At 38.2% G+C, this 18182-nt stretch overlaps 2 protein-coding genes across 23 annotated transcripts in view, besides 7 other annotated features; one reads left to right on the forward strand and one right to left on the reverse strand.

Moving 5' to 3' along the window:
* ANAPC10 (anaphase promoting complex subunit 10) overlaps positions 1-15487 on the reverse strand; it is a 103997-nt gene extending 88510 nt beyond the window's left edge. For 5 of the 21 annotated variants that reach the window (XM_011531531.4, NM_001256706.2, NM_001256710.2 and 2 more), the window contains exons 1-2: positions 15036-15112; positions 12901-13027 (exon numbers count right to left, since the gene is read on the reverse strand). In XM_011531531.4, the coding sequence (XP_011529833.2) occupies positions 12901-13015 (115 nt within the window). In that variant the 5' untranslated portion in view covers positions 13016-13027; positions 15036-15112. The other 16 variants (XM_047449507.1, XM_047449502.1, XM_017007641.2 and 13 more) reach the window with 10 other exon arrangements.
* Positions 14367-15238: an enhancer, noted in NCBI's record as "NANOG-H3K27ac-H3K4me1 hESC enhancer chr4:146018603-146019474 (GRCh37/hg19 assembly coordinates)". NCBI's record gives its function as "activates a minimal SCP1, AML or CMV promoter by ChIP-STARR-seq in naive and primed H9 embryonic stem cells {active_cell/tissue: H9 hESC(naive and primed)}" and the evidence as "EXISTENCE:reporter gene assay evidence [ECO:0000049][PMID:30033119]".
* Positions 14367-16110: a biological region, named in NCBI's record as "MED14-independent group 3 enhancer GRCh37_chr4:146018722-146019921".
* Positions 14486-15685: an enhancer, noted in NCBI's record as "MED14-independent group 3 enhancer chr4:146018722-146019921 (GRCh37/hg19 assembly coordinates)". NCBI's record gives its function as "activates an origin of replication core promoter dependent on BRD2, BRD4, P300/CBP and CDK7 cofactors, and independent of MED14, by STARR-seq in HCT116 cells {active_cell/tissue: HCT116}" and the evidence as "EXISTENCE:reporter gene assay evidence [ECO:0000049][PMID:35650434]".
* Positions 14819-14868: an enhancer, noted in NCBI's record as "active region_21959". NCBI's record gives its function as "activates an Ori minimal core promoter by ATAC-STARR-seq in GM12878 lymphoblastoid cells {active_cell/tissue: GM12878}" and the evidence as "EXISTENCE:reporter gene assay evidence [ECO:0000049][PMID:35858748]".
* Positions 14949-15208: an enhancer, noted in NCBI's record as "active region_21960". NCBI's record gives its function as "activates an Ori minimal core promoter by ATAC-STARR-seq in GM12878 lymphoblastoid cells {active_cell/tissue: GM12878}" and the evidence as "EXISTENCE:reporter gene assay evidence [ECO:0000049][PMID:35858748]".
* The window catches only part of ABCE1 (ATP binding cassette subfamily E member 1), a 31214-nt gene continuing 28258 nt past the window's right edge, over positions 15227-18182 (forward strand). For both annotated transcript variants that reach the window (NM_002940.3, NM_001040876.2), the window contains exon 1: positions 15227-15335. The gene's annotated coding sequence lies outside the window, so the exon portion shown is untranslated. The remainder of the gene's footprint in view (positions 15336-18182) is intronic.
* Positions 15239-16110: an enhancer, noted in NCBI's record as "NANOG-H3K27ac-H3K4me1 hESC enhancer chr4:146019475-146020346 (GRCh37/hg19 assembly coordinates)". NCBI's record gives its function as "activates a minimal SCP1, AML or CMV promoter by ChIP-STARR-seq in naive H9 embryonic stem cells {active_cell/tissue: H9 hESC(naive)}" and the evidence as "EXISTENCE:reporter gene assay evidence [ECO:0000049][PMID:30033119]".
* Positions 15459-15538: an enhancer, noted in NCBI's record as "active region_21961". NCBI's record gives its function as "activates an Ori minimal core promoter by ATAC-STARR-seq in GM12878 lymphoblastoid cells {active_cell/tissue: GM12878}" and the evidence as "EXISTENCE:reporter gene assay evidence [ECO:0000049][PMID:35858748]".

Here is an 18182-nt window from a genome sequence, read left to right on the forward strand (position 1 = left end):
TTAATTTTACTTAACATATCTGGAGTTTTTTACCATACGAATATTTATTCCATATCAATAAATTAACAACAATAATAACAATAACAAACACTGATATCACATTAACTATGTGCCAGGCGCATTCTAAACATTTTATATATGTTAAATAATCTAATATTTATTAGCTCATATAACAACATAAACAGCTTCCATATTTTTTAAGGTTGTATATTCTACCACTGTCTGGAAATATCATAATTATCTCACCACACCTCTGCAGAACATTTAGGTTGTTTCCAATGTTTTGCTATTACAAACAATACTGCAATAAACACCTAGCTGTCTACAATCTTTAAATATATGTTATTTCTAGAGAATAGATTTCTAGGAATAGAATCCTGGGTCATTTGAATCTTTAATTTGATAAATATTGCCAAATTGTCCTCTAAAACATTTCCTCACCAAAAATGTAAAAGAATACCTATTCCCTCTCAATGGCTAGTAAAAGTTGGTATGTTCTGAAATTAATATACCAGATTTTGATGACTTTGTATGACAAAAACTTTAAATATATATCTAATGTTTTTATATTGATTATATGTTGAAGGGATATTTTGAACATACTGAGAAAAATAGAATAATTGCACTTTTATAAAATTTTTTTAACGTTGTTGCTAGATAATTTTAAATTACAAATGTGGTTTGTGTTACATTTCTGTTGGATAGCACTGCTCTGCACCCAGGCAAAAATGCAGTTAATCTTTTAAATATTTACTCACCTGATAGATTAAAAAAATTGTATTTCACATTTATTAATATTTATATTTTCATGCTTATTCATATCCTCCTATATTTTCAATAAACTTAGGTCTTTTGATTATTCATAACACTTTTACTATTACAGATCTTTTTTTTTTTTCTTTTTGAGACAGGGTCTTGCTCTGACACACAGGCTGGAATGCAGTAGCACCATCAAAGCTCACTGCAGCCATGACCTGCTGGGTTTATGCAATCCTCCCACCTCAGTCATCTAGGTAGCTGGAACCACAGGCATGTGCCACCACATTCAGTCACTATTATGGATATTAACACTATGTCTGTTCCACGTAATCCAAACATGAATGGATTTGTATCTTAAATTTGCATCTGCTGCCTTTATTGTGCATACTAGTGGATAAAAGAAGTTTATCCAGAGAAAATGAGTTTTGCATTGAATTTCAAATTACTAGTTAGCTAGATAAAGAGGTAGAATGGTAAGATTCAGGGGCATTCAGCAAAGAGATAAGCATATAATGTCATGAATCAAGAAAAATGGCATACATGGAAAACAACAGTGGGTCCTTTGAGAGCTAAGGCAATACATTGGTGTGAAGCAGGAAATAAGCCAGACATATCAAAGGAGCCAGATCACACAGACCAGGGGTGTCTAATCTTTTGGCTTCCCTGGGCCACACTGGAAGAAGAACTGTCTTGGGCCACACATAAAATACACTAACATTAACAATAGTTGATGAGCTAAAAAAAAAAAAATTCATAATGTTTCAAAAAAGTTTACTAATTTGGTCTGCATTCAAAGCTGTCCTGGGCCATATATGTCGATAAAATGTAAAAATTGGGCTATTACTTCTTCCGTAACTCTTAAATCTGCACTGTCCAATACGGTAGCCACTAGCCACATGTGGCTACTTGAAATATAGCAAGTCCAAATTGAGATGTGCTGTAAGTGTTAAAATACACACTGGTTTGAAGATTAGGACAAAATGTAAAATATGTCATTAGTAATAGTAGTCCAGTTATACTAGATTTAAAAATATTATTACAATTAATTTCACCTATTTTTAGCCCTTTTAAACGTAGCTACTATAAAATTCCCCATGAAACTTGTATATATATTTCACGTCACATATTCTATTGGACAGTCATGCTTCAAATCATGCTTCGTTCTTTACACAATATTGCTAAAGCTAATCCAGAATATTAGGTAATGCAAGTTACAAGATAAAAAGCTGTTTTACCAGCCTGTGCAACATAGTGAGACACTGTCTATACAAAAAATAAAAAAACTTAGCCAGGCGTGATGGCACTCATGTGGCTGAGGCAGGGGGATCACTTGAGTCCTGGAGTTCGAGGCTGTAGTAAGCCATGACTGTACCACTGCACTCTAGCCTGGGCAACAGTGCGAGAAACGGACAAAAAAATAAAAATAAAAATAAAAATAACTGTTTTACCTCCAATATAAAGAGTTATAGGTCTTAACTCTCTTTTTCTTTTTAGTACTAGTTTTTGAGTTCCCTAGTAAAGGATAACTAAATCACGATTCTTCCGTAAAAGCTCCACAGTTTAATGTTCTATTGATTAAAAGGTTTTTTTTTTCAGTTATTTTATTTTGGCTACCTCAGCTAGGTTTTTTTTCTCCTCCATTTCACAACTTTATTATGTATGTGCTCAAAGAGGTTCAAAGAACAAAATAGTATTTGTTCTTAAAATGCAAAAAAAAAATTAAACACAAATCTGAATAATTTATTCAGAATAAGAAATGTCCTATAATTCAAAACTGATCATTTAAAATTTGTCTCTAATTTATTGCTTAGAAAGTATCATAGTACAACTAAGCAGGTCTAATATCTTCAAGTACTGATTAGTCTAAATCTTTATGTCTGAAATACTAAGTATGATTACCAACTTTTGCTTCTTCAATATGCCTTACAAACGGAACCTCTTACAAACATCTCCTTATGTGCCAATCCCGTCTCAACCTCTTTTCCAAAGCTTCCCACTCAGTATTGTATTTGAATTTTTTTTCTTTTTTTTTTTTTTTAAGATGGAGTCTCACTTTGCCGCCCAGGCTGCAGTGCAGTGGCGCGATTTCAGCTCACTGCAACCTCCACCTCCTGGGTTCAAGCAATTCCCAGAAGTGACTGTTGCAGGTGGCTGAAGCTCACCTTTGCAGGGGGCAGAGCTTCAAAAAATAAAAGTCTAAAATATGAAGGACGTAAGAGTGAAGACTTGCCTCAGCCTCCCCCAGAGTAGCTGGGATTACAGGCGCCTGCCAACACGCCCAGCTAATTTTTGTATTTTTAGTGGAGATAGGGTTTCACCATGTCGGCCAGATTGGTCTCAAACTCCTGACCTCAAGTGATCCACTGGCCTCAGTCTCCCAAAGTGCTTAGATTACTGGCATGAGCCACCGTGTCCGGCCCTGAATTGTTTTAATTTAAACAAAAGAACTAAAACAAAGACGTATCTATGATAACTGCTTTAACAGGTATCCAGAAAATCCACACAAATAACAATATTACACAGAAAAAAACTTTTATAAGAGGTACTGGTTCTCCAATGCAGTTATTATATGATGTACTGGTTCTCTAATGCAGTGGTTCGTACAGTGTCGTTCCTGAACCAGCAGCATCATTACCACCTGGGAACTTGTTAGGAATTCTAGACATGTATCAGAAACTTTGAGAGCTCAGCCCTTTTGAGAGTTTATGTTGTGATAAATCCTCTAGGTGATTCTGATGCATGCTAAAATGTTAGAATTACTCCTCTAAGGCAAGGTTTCTCAATCATGGCAGTACTGATATTTTGGACTGAATAATTCTTTGTTCAGTACAGGGGATGTCCAGTGCATTGAAAGGTATTTAGCTGTATCCCTGGGCTCTACCCACTAGATGCCAATAGAAACACTCCCCCAACTCCCCAACTCCCCCCACCCTCATGTCCCCAGTAATCACAACAATCAAAAATATCTCCAGACTTTGTACCCTGGAGGGTAAAAGCATCCCCTGGTGAGAGCAACTGCCCTAAAGAAAAGAAAATCAGTATTCATCTATGGTTATTGTTATTGTTTGGTAAATATTCATGCTTCTCTCCCCACTCTCCATGGGAGGGATACGATTCTGCACTCCAGTCAATAACGGGGCTAAATCATGACTTACTTCAGTCAATACACTGTGACACAAGCAGAGGCGGTAAATGTGCTTGCAAAGTCTGGCTTGGTCTTCTGAATGCTCTGCACTCCACTAAGAGAATATGCCTGGACAAATGGAGCAGACTTGAACCTGACTCACAGCCTAAAGCCGAGCCATCACCAAAGCACAAAGTAAATTTGGCTGATCATGCCACTGAGAGACTAGGGTTGTTCGTTAAGCAGCATTAGTGGAGCAAGAGCACTAACACAACACCACTAGAGACATATTTGAGCAGCCCAGCTTAGACTGCCTTTATGAATAAAACAGTCATTTTCCTTTCAAGCATATCTATTAACACAACTACTTTCACATTTGCTAAGGGGCTGTTTTTTTCTTTTTTTTTGAGACAGGGTCTCATTCTGTTGCCCTGGCTGGAGTACAGTGGTACGATCACAGCTCACTGCAGCCTCAACCTCCTTAGGCTCTGCTAGGGGGCTATTTTAACTGAGGCAAATGTCTTAACTATGAAGACCTAAAGATAGATACAAATGGTCTCTGTAGAGAAGTTCATCCATATCATGCACTAGACCTACACTGTGGCTATATACATTTAAACGAAGTAAAATTAAAAATTTAGTTCCTCAGTAACAGTAGTAACATTTCAAATGTTCAATAGTTTCATGTAGCTAGTAGTTACCTCACTGCATGGTGCACTAAGTTCTAATGGACAGCACTGATAGATTTAAGCAAATAGATTATAATATGAAGTATTAGTACAACAATAAAGAGATGAGGCCAGGCGCAATGACTCATGCCTATAATCCCAGCATTTTGGGAGGCTGAGGTGGGCGGATCACTTGAGGTCAAGAGTTTGAGATCAGCCTGGCCAACATGGTGAAACCCTGTCTAAACTAAAAATAAAAAAAATTAGCTGAGTGTGGTGGTGCGCACCTATAATCTTAGCTACCTGGGAGGCTAAGGCAGGAGAATCACTTGAACCCGGGAGGTGGAGGTTGCAGTGAGCTGAGATCGCACCACTGCACTCCAGCTTGGGCAACAGAGCGAGACTCCACCTCAAAGAATAAAAATAAAAGAGAAATGAAGAATTAACTAACTTCCTGAAACACTTGTTTCCTCTTGACTTCTATCCATGATTTCTCACTCTCTTGGTTTTCCTCCTAGTTCACTAGCCACTTCTTAGTATCCTTTGTTGACACCTCTTCCACTATTCTGCCAGATCTCTTCATCTTCAAGTGTCCCAAAGCTTTATTCTTTTCTCTAAATTCTCTCCCTAGATGAGTTAGTCCAGTTCCCTTAGAATATCATTGGCACACTGATGACCTTCAAATTTGTATCTCCAACCCAGAACTTCAAGCAGAGCTCCCAGCCTCTACAGTCAATTGCTTACTAAACATTTCAACTAGAAAAATAGGCATTGCAAAATTAACATATATAAATTAAATTATTTATTTTTTGACCCAAAATCTATTTACTCCCTCCACTCCCTCCTTCTTTCTCAACTCAGGAAACAGTATGAGTTGTTCTGCCAGAAAGGTCACTCTGAAGGTTTCCTCCTGTGAATCGTAATTATTCCACCTCTAAAAATATATCCCAAAGCCATCATTCCTTTCCATATCAACAGTTCTTAATCCTAGTCCAAATCAACATCATCTCTAACATAAATTACTATAACATCATTTCCTCCATTGGTGTTCACCATTATGCCACTATCAACCATTATCCACAGTGGACACAGTCATCTTTTAAAAATTCTGTATCAGATCATCTTCCTCTCCTGCTTAACACCTCCAGTGGTTTCCCTTTGTACTTAAAATCAATACTCTTTTTCAGGGCCTACAAGAGTTCATATAATCTGTCCCACCATGTCTAATTACATTTCCAATCCACTCTACCATTTCTCCTCCTTACTCACTGCTCTCCAGCCCCTATAGCCTTCTTTCTGAACCTCTAAAATGCCAAATCAACTAACTTAGAGCCTTTGAACTAACTTCCTGGTGTCAAGAAAGTTCTTCTCTGAAATCTTTGCACAATGAATTCTTCTTAACATTCATGTCTCTGTGCAAATTTCACTTATAAAAGAGGCCTTCCATAATCCCACAAACTAATGTAGCCTCCCACTTAAAGTTACTTTCTATTATATTGCTGTCTTATTTTCTGCAAAGCAAATATCACTATTCAACTCAGAAATCCTTTAACTCAAAGGCCATAATTGTCAGTTATAGCATGAACTTCAATAAAAATTTAGTGATTTTTATTTTAAGAAAAACAGAATTTACAACATCCCATTAACCTTCTAAGAATTAACTCAATGTCTTCAAAAAAAAACAGGGAACAAATAGCATATAAGCCCTGTAAGATGTTCACAAAATACAGCCATACTGAATCCCTTCTTTGTATCAAATATAGAGTTAAGCACAGCAGATGTACTTATTTTTCCCCTAAATTTGTTTTTCAACATTGGATTAATTTGGTGCTTATGAAATGATTAAATTATTTTAAAAGACCCTATTATACGGTAGCAGTCATAACACAAATTTGTTCTTTTGTTTTTCCAGTCTCTTAGGTAGAGACTAACAATTGTGCTGAATTGTAAGATTGTTTTGTGGTGTGTGTTCAACTAAGCTGAATCTACTAAACACATTCCAACTTTAATCTGAATGAAATATTGAACCATTATTTCAAAGATACAAAAAGATTTTTGCAAAGCCATGTGCCACCTACCATCCTGTAGCAGGCAAGTAAATCTGTATCTCCCAAAGACTGACATTAACATTTTGAAAATTTCTTAAAATTCTCCTTTATATCACTTCCTATCTGATTTATCGCGTCTCCTGATTTCCTTTTTATTTCTAATCTTGCCTCACTTCAATCCATCCTCCACACTTCTCAAATATGAACAAACACTGATTGTTTTACTCTGTTACTTACCTTTTCAACTGCTCATATTATCTATACAGTAAAGTATGAATTGTTTAATAAAGTCTTCTATAATCAGGCTTCTACCTAACTATACAGCTTCACATACGCCATTTCCCTATTTCTAGTCTCATTTACTACATGAAATTAATTGACTAAGCCATGTTTTGTTTAAGTTGTATACCTCTGCACATATTATCATTTCTTGGCATCCAACGAGGATTGGTACCAGGACCTCTGTGGTTAACGAAATCCACTGATGCACAAGTCCCTTATTTAAAATGGCTCCTCTTGTATACTTCAAATCATCTCTAGATTACTTATAATACCTAATATAATGTAAATATGTAAAAAGTTGTACAGTGTTGTTTTTCTATTTGTGTTATTTTTGTTGTTGTATTGTTATTTTTTGTGGGTTTTTTCCAACTATTTTCAACCCTCAGTTAGTTGAATCCATGAAATTAGAACCTACAGATATGGAAGGCTAACTGTCCCATTTCCCTTGCTTTTATGTCCTTAGTGAAATCTTATTCTTGCTTCATCATACAGAATAAGCATCATCTCCATGAAGACTTCCATGATCGTTTCAAGCAAAGTAAATCACTTTCTTCTTTGGGCTAGTTCTACACTGAGCCCATATTTAGTGGAAAGCACTATTGTGTAATGGAGTCTGTCTTGAATTCCAGAATTTCCTGCTTATCATGTGATCTTTGTCAAATTACTTAATCTTTCTGTACTAGTTTCCTCATTTGGAAAATGGTAAAAGAAATAGTACAACTTCATATATAACTTTTGAAAACCTTACTGAGATAACTGGTTATTTTATGCATGTAAAGTTCTTAGAACAGCATCTATCACTTAGTAAGCACTAAATAAAAGTTATTAATTATTACATTATGTAGTAATAGTTTAAAGCTATACTTCCTCCACTAAATTGTGAAGTCCTTGACAGTAAAGATTGTGTCTTTTTTGTCTTTCAATCTCTAACAAGTTTGAGTTACAAATCTCAGCAACTATCTGCTGACTTAAACTGAAAAATATCTGACCCTAGAGAAGCAAAGATCGAGCAATCACTTTCTCATGCAGTTTCCTGTTTATAAAGAGTAGTCATTCTTAATATGTAAAATGCTAATCATATAATGATATTTCACTGATAGACTCAAAGCTCAAAATCACATGAAGTAAGACATATGACATTGCACTACTGAACTTCATGAATTTCATACTCAACACATTTTTAAGTGATCCTGCCACTCCTCTAGTAGCAGTAACTATTGATCTCTTCTGCACCTCCAAGATGTCAGAGCAGTGGGGCATTTTCAGGAAACTGGTGACATGTGTTGCTCTCTTCAAACCAGTGACTGGTGCAATATTGTGATAGTAATGAGGTACGATTCAGTGCTAGTTTACCAAGGAAGGTAAACTTTACCAAAGGAGTTCAACTAGCACTGATTTGTATCTCATTACTGACACAATATGGCACCAGTCTAGTCATACTAATAGATCAAACAGTGAAAGATGTTCAATTTAATCATATTTACAGGAATATTTGATACAATAATGGATATTAAGGAATTCCAAAGAACCCAAAAGAAAGCTGAAAAAGCTTTTAAAAAACGGGGGGAGGGGGAAATCACCGCTACAGTATTCCATAGTGTATATGTACATTTTCTTTATTCAATCTATCACTGATGGGCGTTTGGGTTGATTCCACATCTTTGCTATTATGAATAGTGCTGCAATGAACATACATGTGCATGTATCTTTGTAAAATAATAATTTATATTCTTTTGGGTATATACCCAGTGATGGGATTGCTGAGTCAAATGGTATTTCTGGTTCTACATCTTTGAGGACTCGCCACACTGTCTTCCACAATGGTTGAACTAATTTACATTTCCACCAACACTGTAAACACGTGGAGTACTATCCAGCCATAAAAAGGAATGAGATAATGTCCTTTGCAGGGACTTGGACAAAAGACCACAAAAGACCAGCCACAGATACAAGGCTATCTTGAATAGGAGGGGCCAAAATGCTGAGGCCAGGCACATGCAGCCTACCTAAGACTGCTGCTGCACTAGGAAAACAGAGAACTACCCTGCCTCTCCCTTTCAGGAGCTGGAAGCCATCATCCTCAGCAAACTAACACAGGAACAGAAAACCAAACACCACATGTTCTCGCTTATAAATAGGAGCTAAACAATGACAACAAATGGACACAGGGAGGGGAACATCACACACTAGGGCCTGTCAGGATGGGGTAGGGGGAGGGAGAGCATTAGGAAAAATAGCTAATGCATGCTGGGCTTAATACTTATGTGATAAGTTGATAGGTGCAGCAAATCACCATGGGACACATTTACCTATGTCACAAACCTGCACATCCTACACATGTACCCCAGAACTTAAACTTAAAATTTAAATTAAAAAAAATCACCTCCATCCAAACAACAGAAAAAGCTGGATAAACTACAAACTCCTACCAGACAGCCTGAAATCCAGGAATGGGGCAGCCCCCATTCCCAGGAGAAAAAAAGATTACAGATTGTCCCAACTGTAGTAGAGCATAGGAGGAAGGAACAAGACCAAATAAATACATAAGAAGAAACCAAGTATAACTTTAATAATTTGACAAAGACCAAATGCAGGCTAGCATAATAGTACAGCAACACTGAGAGCCCAAAACACAAGGTGAATTCACACTGACTCTCAGACTCTTTTGCAAGGGCCCTCACTTTACACATAAAGACTGGGAGAGGGGAAGAGACTAAACAGCCTAAGTCAGTGCTACAGATACAGAGGAGGGGACTGACCACCAGTGAAGGAAAGCAAAACGTTCTACCCTCCTTCCAAACCCTTCTCTCCCATAGAGGAAAGGACTTAAGCTACTGTAGGAGGAGAATCAACCCTGTTGACCCCAGGACACAAATACAATCCATCCTTGCTGAAAGATGAGTAAAAGAAAAAACTCTCTATACCTGAGAGAGGGGCAAACAACAGTCCTTTCTCAGAGTGAGGCAGAAAACTCTTTACCACAAAAGACCAGCCACAGATACAAGGCTGTCATGAACAGCAGGGGCCAAAATGCTGAGGCCAGGCACATACAGCCTACCTAAGAGTGTAGCTGCACTAGGAAAACAGAGAACTAACCTGCCTCTCATACCCTGAACTGAGTAATGAAACACAGTATTCTACAGCTGGAGGTAGGGCAAGAGCATGGCAAGAGGCACCCTCTGTAGCACAAGTGTGCGCCAAAGCACAGGAAAACTGGAGTGGAACTATTATATAGAAAAATAAGAAAATGTCTCTGGCACAATGTTCTCACAGTAAGCACAGGGCATCTTTAGAGGAATTTGAAGCCTGTGAGACACTGAAGGTAACCATAGCAATAACAAAACTCAAACTCAGCTCAATTCCTAACTAATGCAAATCCCACAATAAAGGACAAATGATAGAAAAAAGGCACCCATTTCAAGGTGTAAAAACTATTTATCTCAGTATCTACTAATCTGCACATATTTGGCACTCAATAAAAAAAAAAGACAAACAAAAAGAAAAACAGAATTATCATAAACAGAAACAGACCCAGAGATGACCCAGTTGTTGGAACTACCAGACAGGAATCTTAAATAACTATAACTATGAGTAAGATGTTAAAAAAAAAAAACAAAAACCTAGAAAGGTAGATGAAATGTGTTAACAGACAGGAATTTCAATAGAGATGAAAATTCTACGAGTCAAATGGAAGAGCTACAAATAAAAAATATAATATCACAGATGAAAAATTTCTTAGGCAGAATTATCAGTATATTCAATAAAGCCAAAGATGAATGCAGCAGATTTGAAGACAGGCCAATGAAAAATACCAGAATTGAAACACAACTCCAAAAAAAGTGAAAAAAAATAGAGTACCCAAAAGCTGTGGGATAATAACAAATGGTCTAGCATATGTATAATTGGATTCCCAGATTCTTAGAAAGATAATAGAGAAGCAATAGGGCAAAAGAAATAATTGAAGAAATAATGGACACAATGTCTTTTACAACCTAGTCTCAAAAGTCATATACCATCAGTTTTGCCTTATTCTACTGGTCCCAGAAACCAATCCTGACACAATTTGGAAGCGGTCCACAGAAGGGCATGAATACCAGAAGGCAAGGATAACTGGGGACCATTTTGAAAGCTAGCTACTACTAATCTGGTGAATGGATAAACAAACTGGTACACCCATATTGTGGAACAGTAATCAACAATAAAAAGGAATAAACTACAGATATGTGCCCCAGCAAAACCCACAAGTGAATTATGCTAAATGAAAGACACTAGACCCAATAAGCTACATACAGTATTTATATCGGCATTCTGGGAAAGGCGAAACCAAAGGGACCCAAAACTGAGCTGTCAGGGGCTTGGAAAGGCCCAGAAGACTGACCATAAAGAGACATGAGGGAACTTTGTGGGATGATGGCAATGTTATATATTCGATTATAATGCTGCTTATATGACTGTACATGTCTGTAAAATTCACAGAACTGTACACCTAAAAAGGGTAAGTTTTATAGTATGTAAATTATACCTCAAGAAAGTGCTCATAGAAAGACAGAGAAGGGAATCTTGAGGGGAAACAGAAGAGGCTTGGTTGAGAGGATGGATACAGGAGTCATAATGTGCAAATAATAAAAGTTTCTGAAAGAAAGATGACTACTAAACTAATAACATTATAAAGTCCCTCAAGCTAAAGAAATTTCTCCAAGCTTGAGTCTGCAGGTGAAAACTGCCTATAAAATTATGGGTTACAAGGGTGAGAAAAGATATCTGGCAAATGCCATGAACTCAAGAATAAAGAGAAAAACCTTAGATGCTTCCAGAAAAAAACAAGTTACTTAGGAAAAAAAAAAAAGAGAGGTAGGCATAGGCCTTTATATCCACAACATGGCAAAAGAAGATAGTGAAAGAGCATTCATAAATTTTTGAGAGAAAAGGACTGCCACCCAAGAATTCTATCCCAACAAAGAGTAAAAGGAAAGTATTTTGGCGTATGTTATCACTCATTTATCCAATTGAGAGAAACGGCCAAAAAAAATAAATGAATAACAACTGAATCATAGTAGAGATAGAGGAGGAAAAGAGAAGACCTTATGACATATGTAATTAAATCTAACTAGGGAATAGTAAAGAAATTGGACAGAGATATATGATAAAAAAAAATTCAGTGCATTAGAATTAAAATAAAGCATCTAAACAAAAGGAATATTAAAATCAGACCAGTGTACAGTAGTATCTTTATCTGCAGTTTCATCTCCGCAGTTTCAGTTACCCTTGGTCAATCATGGTTCAAAATATTAAAAGGGAAATTCCAGAAACAAACAATTGGTAAGTTTTAAACTGTGTACTGTCTGAGTAGTGTGAAGAAATTTCTCACCATCCTGCTCCATCCCACCCAAGACATAAATCATCACTTTGTCCAGCACATCCACCACTTTGTCCAGCACATCCACCACTTTGTCCAGCATATCCACACTGTGTATACTACCTGACCGTTAGCCATCAACATCATCTGCTCCTGATATCCAATCATCAACATCATCGTGGCTTGATGATCCAGAATCACCAGAAGCAGATGCTCCTCCTTCTGAAGTATTGTCAGAAGGTTAATAGTAGCCTAACACTACATCACAACACCTACATTCTTCACCTCACTCGCTCTCATCACATAGACATTTTATCTCTCACATCATCGCAGGAGGAAGGGTACAATATAATATTTTGAGAGCGAGAGAGACCACTTTCACAAAACTTTTATTACTTTATTACTTCTATTGTTATAATTGTTCTATTTTATTATTAATTATTGTTAATCTCTTACTGTGCCTAATTTATAAATTACACTTTATCACAGGTATTTATGTATAGGAAAAAACATAGTATTAATATAGAAAGGGTTCAGTACTATCCATGGTTTTAGGCATCCACTGGGAGTCCTGGAATGTATCCCCTGGGATAAGGGGAGATGCCTGTACAAGGAAACTGCAAGTGACTATTTCCAACAGCTTTTTTGTTTGTTAGTTTTTACCTGGTTTGCAAGATGAGAGTGACCAAACAGCTTGTGACCCAATTTCCCGTACTGTTCCAGTCCTTTCCAACTGCTTGGGGTCAGCACCAGGAGGTGTCTTGTTTGGTGTAGTCATTTTTAAAATATTCTATGTAGAAAACAAGAATGCACACATTGTATCAGGAACTGGGCATCTTTCTACAAAAGTTTTTTACCAAGAAAAATTTAATGGAACTCATATACCCTGACATTAATCATTTATTCTGAAGAATGCAGTTAATATAATTAAATCACTGTAATTTAAATCTTAGGGGCTGGGCATGGTGGCTCACACCTGTAATCCCAACACTTTGGGAGGCTGAGACAGGAGGATCATGTGAGCCCAGGAGTTCAAGACCAGCCTGGACAACATGGCAAGACCCCATCTCTATTTTTAAATAAATAAAAATCTTAGGAATTCAGGTTTTGTTTCATATGACCAGATATGCAAAGCAGTGAGCTATAGTAGTCAAAAGAGCACAGAATCAAAGTTTTGGCTTCAGTATCTCCTTTAATCAGCCTAGACTTTGAGTAGGTCTGGGCTTTATTTCCTCTCCTGTTAAAGAGGTTCACTTGATGATTTTTACTTCTACAATGCTATGCAGTTCTATAATTCTGTGCCTGAAAATTCAAATGACTTTTAGCCCTAGAAAAGTCAGACTGAAATACTTTTATTCTAGGAATATATAAATATTGATCCTCATTTTATTTACTTAATTCCTTTTTTTTTAGAGACAGGATCTAGCTATGTTACCCAGGCTGGTCTTGAACACCTTGCTTCAAGCGATCCTCCCACCTCAGCCTCCCAAGTAGCTGGGATTACAGGTGTGATCCCATCACCCCACTAAGATCCTCATTTTAAATATTCATTGAGTGATGCAGAGAACAGTCATACCTGCCCTCTAGCTGTCAAAAGTTTTATTTAAGACCCAGCCCGGTGGCTCACACCTGTAATCCCAGCAGTTTGGGAGGCCAAGGCAGGTGGATTGCTTGAGCCCAGGAGTTCGAGACCAGCCTGGAATATGGTGAAACCCTGTCTCTAAAAAAATTCCAAAAAATCAGCCTGGTGTGGCGGCACACACCTGTAGTCCCAGGGGGGCTGAGACAGGAGGATCACCTGAACTGGGAGGCGGAGGTTGCAGTGAGCCGAGATCGTGCTACTGCACTCCAGCCTGCGTAACAGAGCAAGACACTGTCCCAAAAAGCACAAAAATAAGAAAAAAATGTTAAAAGTTCACTTACATATGCTCTTACCATAGAAGATAAGGTCAGGAAAATGGCTTCAAGATTTTGAAGTGAATAACTGGCCCATTCTAAAAAGGTTGACCTCATCTTTCACATCTTTTGTTAATTTTACTAAGTCTATTCATATGTGAAAAAACACTTCAATACTGGATCGTGAACAATATGTAAAACTGCTTTGGTAGCGCAGTTACTGCTACTGAACATTGTTATATATGCTATTCAAAATAGGTGCAATAGTTCTGCATACCGTTTCCTTGACACCTCCCATTGTATCCGAAGTTGTTCTTTAATCGGCACACAAGCACTTGATACTTACTAAATAACGGCAGACACAACGGACTGTAAACTTTGGCAAGGCCTGAGGCTTAAACGCTCAATAAGTAATTTACTGAATGAATAAACAGATGAATAGGTTCAGTTATGAACTAGTTGTCACTTGCCTGCAAGTTAGGTGAGATCTAGGGCGAGACTATTCAACCTGCAACCATCATTACTAACTGAATGTCCTGTTACCTAAAAAAAGATAGAAATAAAGCCCATCTTTAGGGCAGAATTCAACTGCCGGACTTGGGACTGGACGCCACCAAGTGGATAAAATATGGAGCTCGGAAAAGATTGGATTCCCGGCCCTGAACTGACCACACAGTTGAGAGGAAGTTGAGGCCTAGAAGAGCGCGCAACAGTAAGCCGTGTCGGCACCAGACTCTGTTGGTCCTACTGACACCTCCAGCGTTAGAATGACTAAGGCTCCACTCCTGACCCACCGGCCTTGAGGAAAGCGCAAACGTAAAAAAAGATTGAAACCGGAGAGGCGAATGCATCTGTTTACGCTAGGACCACGCTCGACGTCGGAGAAAAGCCCACACACTCACAGTTTCCAGACCTGGCTGCTTGCCGAAACTCAGATTCTCGGCACCTCCAGCAGCTGGCTTCGCCAACGGCGTTGAACAAGGGTCGCAGCTCAATGACGTCATATCTCCCTACCTACCTCCAGGGTTCCGCCTCACGCTCTATGTCGCGCGCGCGCACTACGTCCTATGGCTTGCGCGTGCGGCGGCTGGGCACCGCCATTTTGGCCGGTGGCCGTGAGAACACGCTGTGTGGCTGAAAAGTGAAGGCAAGAGCTGATTTGGCCTCTGTGCTCCCCTCCGCAAGGGGATCGTTTTCTCCAGGTACGTGAATAGCCCGGAGAGGTTTGGCCGTTAGCTGCCATCTGCCAGGTTGGAAAGAATGTAGGGACGTTCTCCGAGAGCCTTTGGTTAGGCCTTAGGTGGCGGAGACAGCAGCAGCGCGTGGCAGCGGTTCCTGCGGGACAGCTGGAACTGATGGAGCGCGGGCGACGCCGAGAGCTTGGGGGCGCCTCGGTCTTCCCCTCCAGCCGACCCGGCTGTCGCCGCTGTTGCCTGCCACACCCGCGAGGGACTTCGAGAATGGACCTAGATGCCGTAGTCTCCACTCCCCCTTTACCCCACTCCCGCCCTGAAGCTAAACCTGCTGGAGAGGAAGGCACCTTTAGAACTTACAGCACTCTCTAGTACCCCCACACTCCTCCAGCACCCAAAATGGATATATTGTCACATGTGCATATTTGGTTGTGGGAAGTCGTGGCTTCCACGTTTTGTTGAGTGGAATGAGTCATGGCATCTTGCCGCCATGAAGTCGAATACTCGCTGTCCACTCCCAGGCTTTATAGAAATGATGCCCACATGTCACTCTGCTTTTCTCAGAACAGCGTGTACGCAGCTATGACTGGGGTTGTCCCAAGTAGTTTCCCAGTAGAAATCCTATAGTTTTTTTGGTACGCTTTTGTAGCACTAGGCACTTTCTCCCCTTACCCGTTTTTCCTTTTATTGTATCTAATACTCATTGAGATCAAGGTTGATGTCTTTACTCAGAATACCTTTATTATCTCTTCAGGGCTTCGTACATTGTAGGCATTTAATACGTATTGTGAATGAATGACAGCCAAAGCCGAATTCCCACCTCCCATTAACTACATAAGCTTATTTTCTCTTTTTTGATGGTAAAAATCTATAAGAGGAAGAACTGTCCAAATAACATGTTTTATTTTTTTACTCTTTCCCAACAGGACTGCTAACTAGTCATTTATGATAGTGGCATTTATGTTGCAGTAGTTTGTCCCATATTCTGAGAATATTCATTGTATACCAGCCACCTGACACTAATACTTTGTTAGTGTAACCAAAGGCTCAGAACCTGTATTTGAACCAAAAGCTGTTTGGGGTTTGTGAGCTTTTTGAGAACTTAGTTCTCCCCTATTTTAAAAAAGGGAGTTTTTTTGTTTGTTTGTTTGTTGGAAGAGCATCTAACAATTGGGAGAGAGGGGGAGAAAACAATATTAAGTTAGAGTTCTTCTAAATGTCTTAAACTTAAAACTCTTTGAAATCAGAGCCGTGTACCACTCCTAACTTCTACGTGTTTTGTAAGACTAATAAACTACAATAAGCATGGGTTAGACTATTTCATGTGATACTAAACATCATTAGTTAACAGCAGTCTTTGAAATGCTTTTACACAGCGTTACAATTATTTTGGCTTTAGACTGTAAATGCTTCTAAGTATTCCTCACTTCCTTTTTTCCTCTCAGCTGTAAGAATGACACTGAGGGTCATTGTTCTAGTGTCAATTTTGAACACTTTTGTCTTCGAATCTGAAATATCCGCAAATCCTTCTTTGTTTGCAGGAGCCTGTTAACTATAATCTTCCTCTCCAAGCTTTACTGTGCCTAGGTTTTCTATTGAAAAACAAGTAGGGAATCCCCTTGCCCCAATTATTGAAACTGATACAGAAATTGAATTAAAAGTGTTCACACAGTTAATTAACAGTTCTACAAAGAATCCATGTTCATTTTTCTTAAATGCATTACAATTTATCACTATTTTTATATAAATCAGTTTATTAACCACTTCTGGTATGTTTTTATTCTACTGTAAAAATCAAGCCAGGGTAGTGACATGCACCTATAGTCCCAGCTATTCGGGAGGCTAAAGCAAGAGGATCCCTTGAGCCCAGGAGTCCCAGTCTGTAGTGTCCTGTGATCACTGCCCTCAGCCAGGACACCATAGCAAGATCCCTGTGTCTTTTTAAAAAATTGTCTTTTACAGTCTTTTGGTTTTTAAAATAGTTTGAAAAATTAAATATTTTAGTAGTTTAACAGAAATAAAGTTTAAGCAATTTCGTGGTGATTTATCCCCTGGAGGGGAATTCATTATGCTCTTTCACTGAGTAATTGTAGAAAGGCATTCAGTATTTAAATTAGAATGCATGGTGTCCAGTTTTAATAGCTTGCTGAAGAATCTTCATTTCCTAGGAAGTTGTCATTTCCCGAATAATAGCTTTTTTGTGACAATTCAAGCCATCTAATTTCTTCCTCTTCTAATCTTTACAAGACCTGGACCAGTTTTTAGAGGAATAGAGTCAACCTGTTTATTGGAATAACCCTGTACTTATTACATGAACATTTAGTCTCCTTTTGAATGATTTTTTTTTTCAGTATGTAGTTTAGTGGACAACTGTCACTATAAAATATTGGTAACTTGCAAGATTTCTAAAGTTGTTATAACCTACAGGAAAATTATTTACTATATTTAAATTCATATTCTCATTCATTTAGCAGAAATGCTTGATCTCCTGTGTGCTAGGCACAGGTTCAGCCACTGGAATGAACAAAAATTCCTACCCTCATGATGGATGGAGTACATTCTACTTGGGGAGGGGAAAAATGTGTATGTGTTTGTAGAGAGACAATATACATACACACACCCACGATAGATGTGTGCATATACACCAGATATATATAAAAAAAATATATATATGGAATATATAGTATGTCATATAGTTGAGCTAGGGAGAAAAATAAAGCAAGAAAGAAGGATGAAGAGGCAGTTGGGTGTATTTTTCGGTAGTGTATATTGTGGTAGTGTAGTTACAAAAGGCTCACTGAGAAATAGTAAAGATTGAAAGGAGTAAGCCATGTAACTCTCTAGGGGGAATAGCAT

This window comes from Homo sapiens, chromosome 4, assembly GCF_000001405.40.
Source record: "Homo sapiens chromosome 4, GRCh38.p14 Primary Assembly".
NCBI lineage: Eukaryota > Metazoa > Chordata > Mammalia > Primates > Hominidae > Homo > Homo sapiens.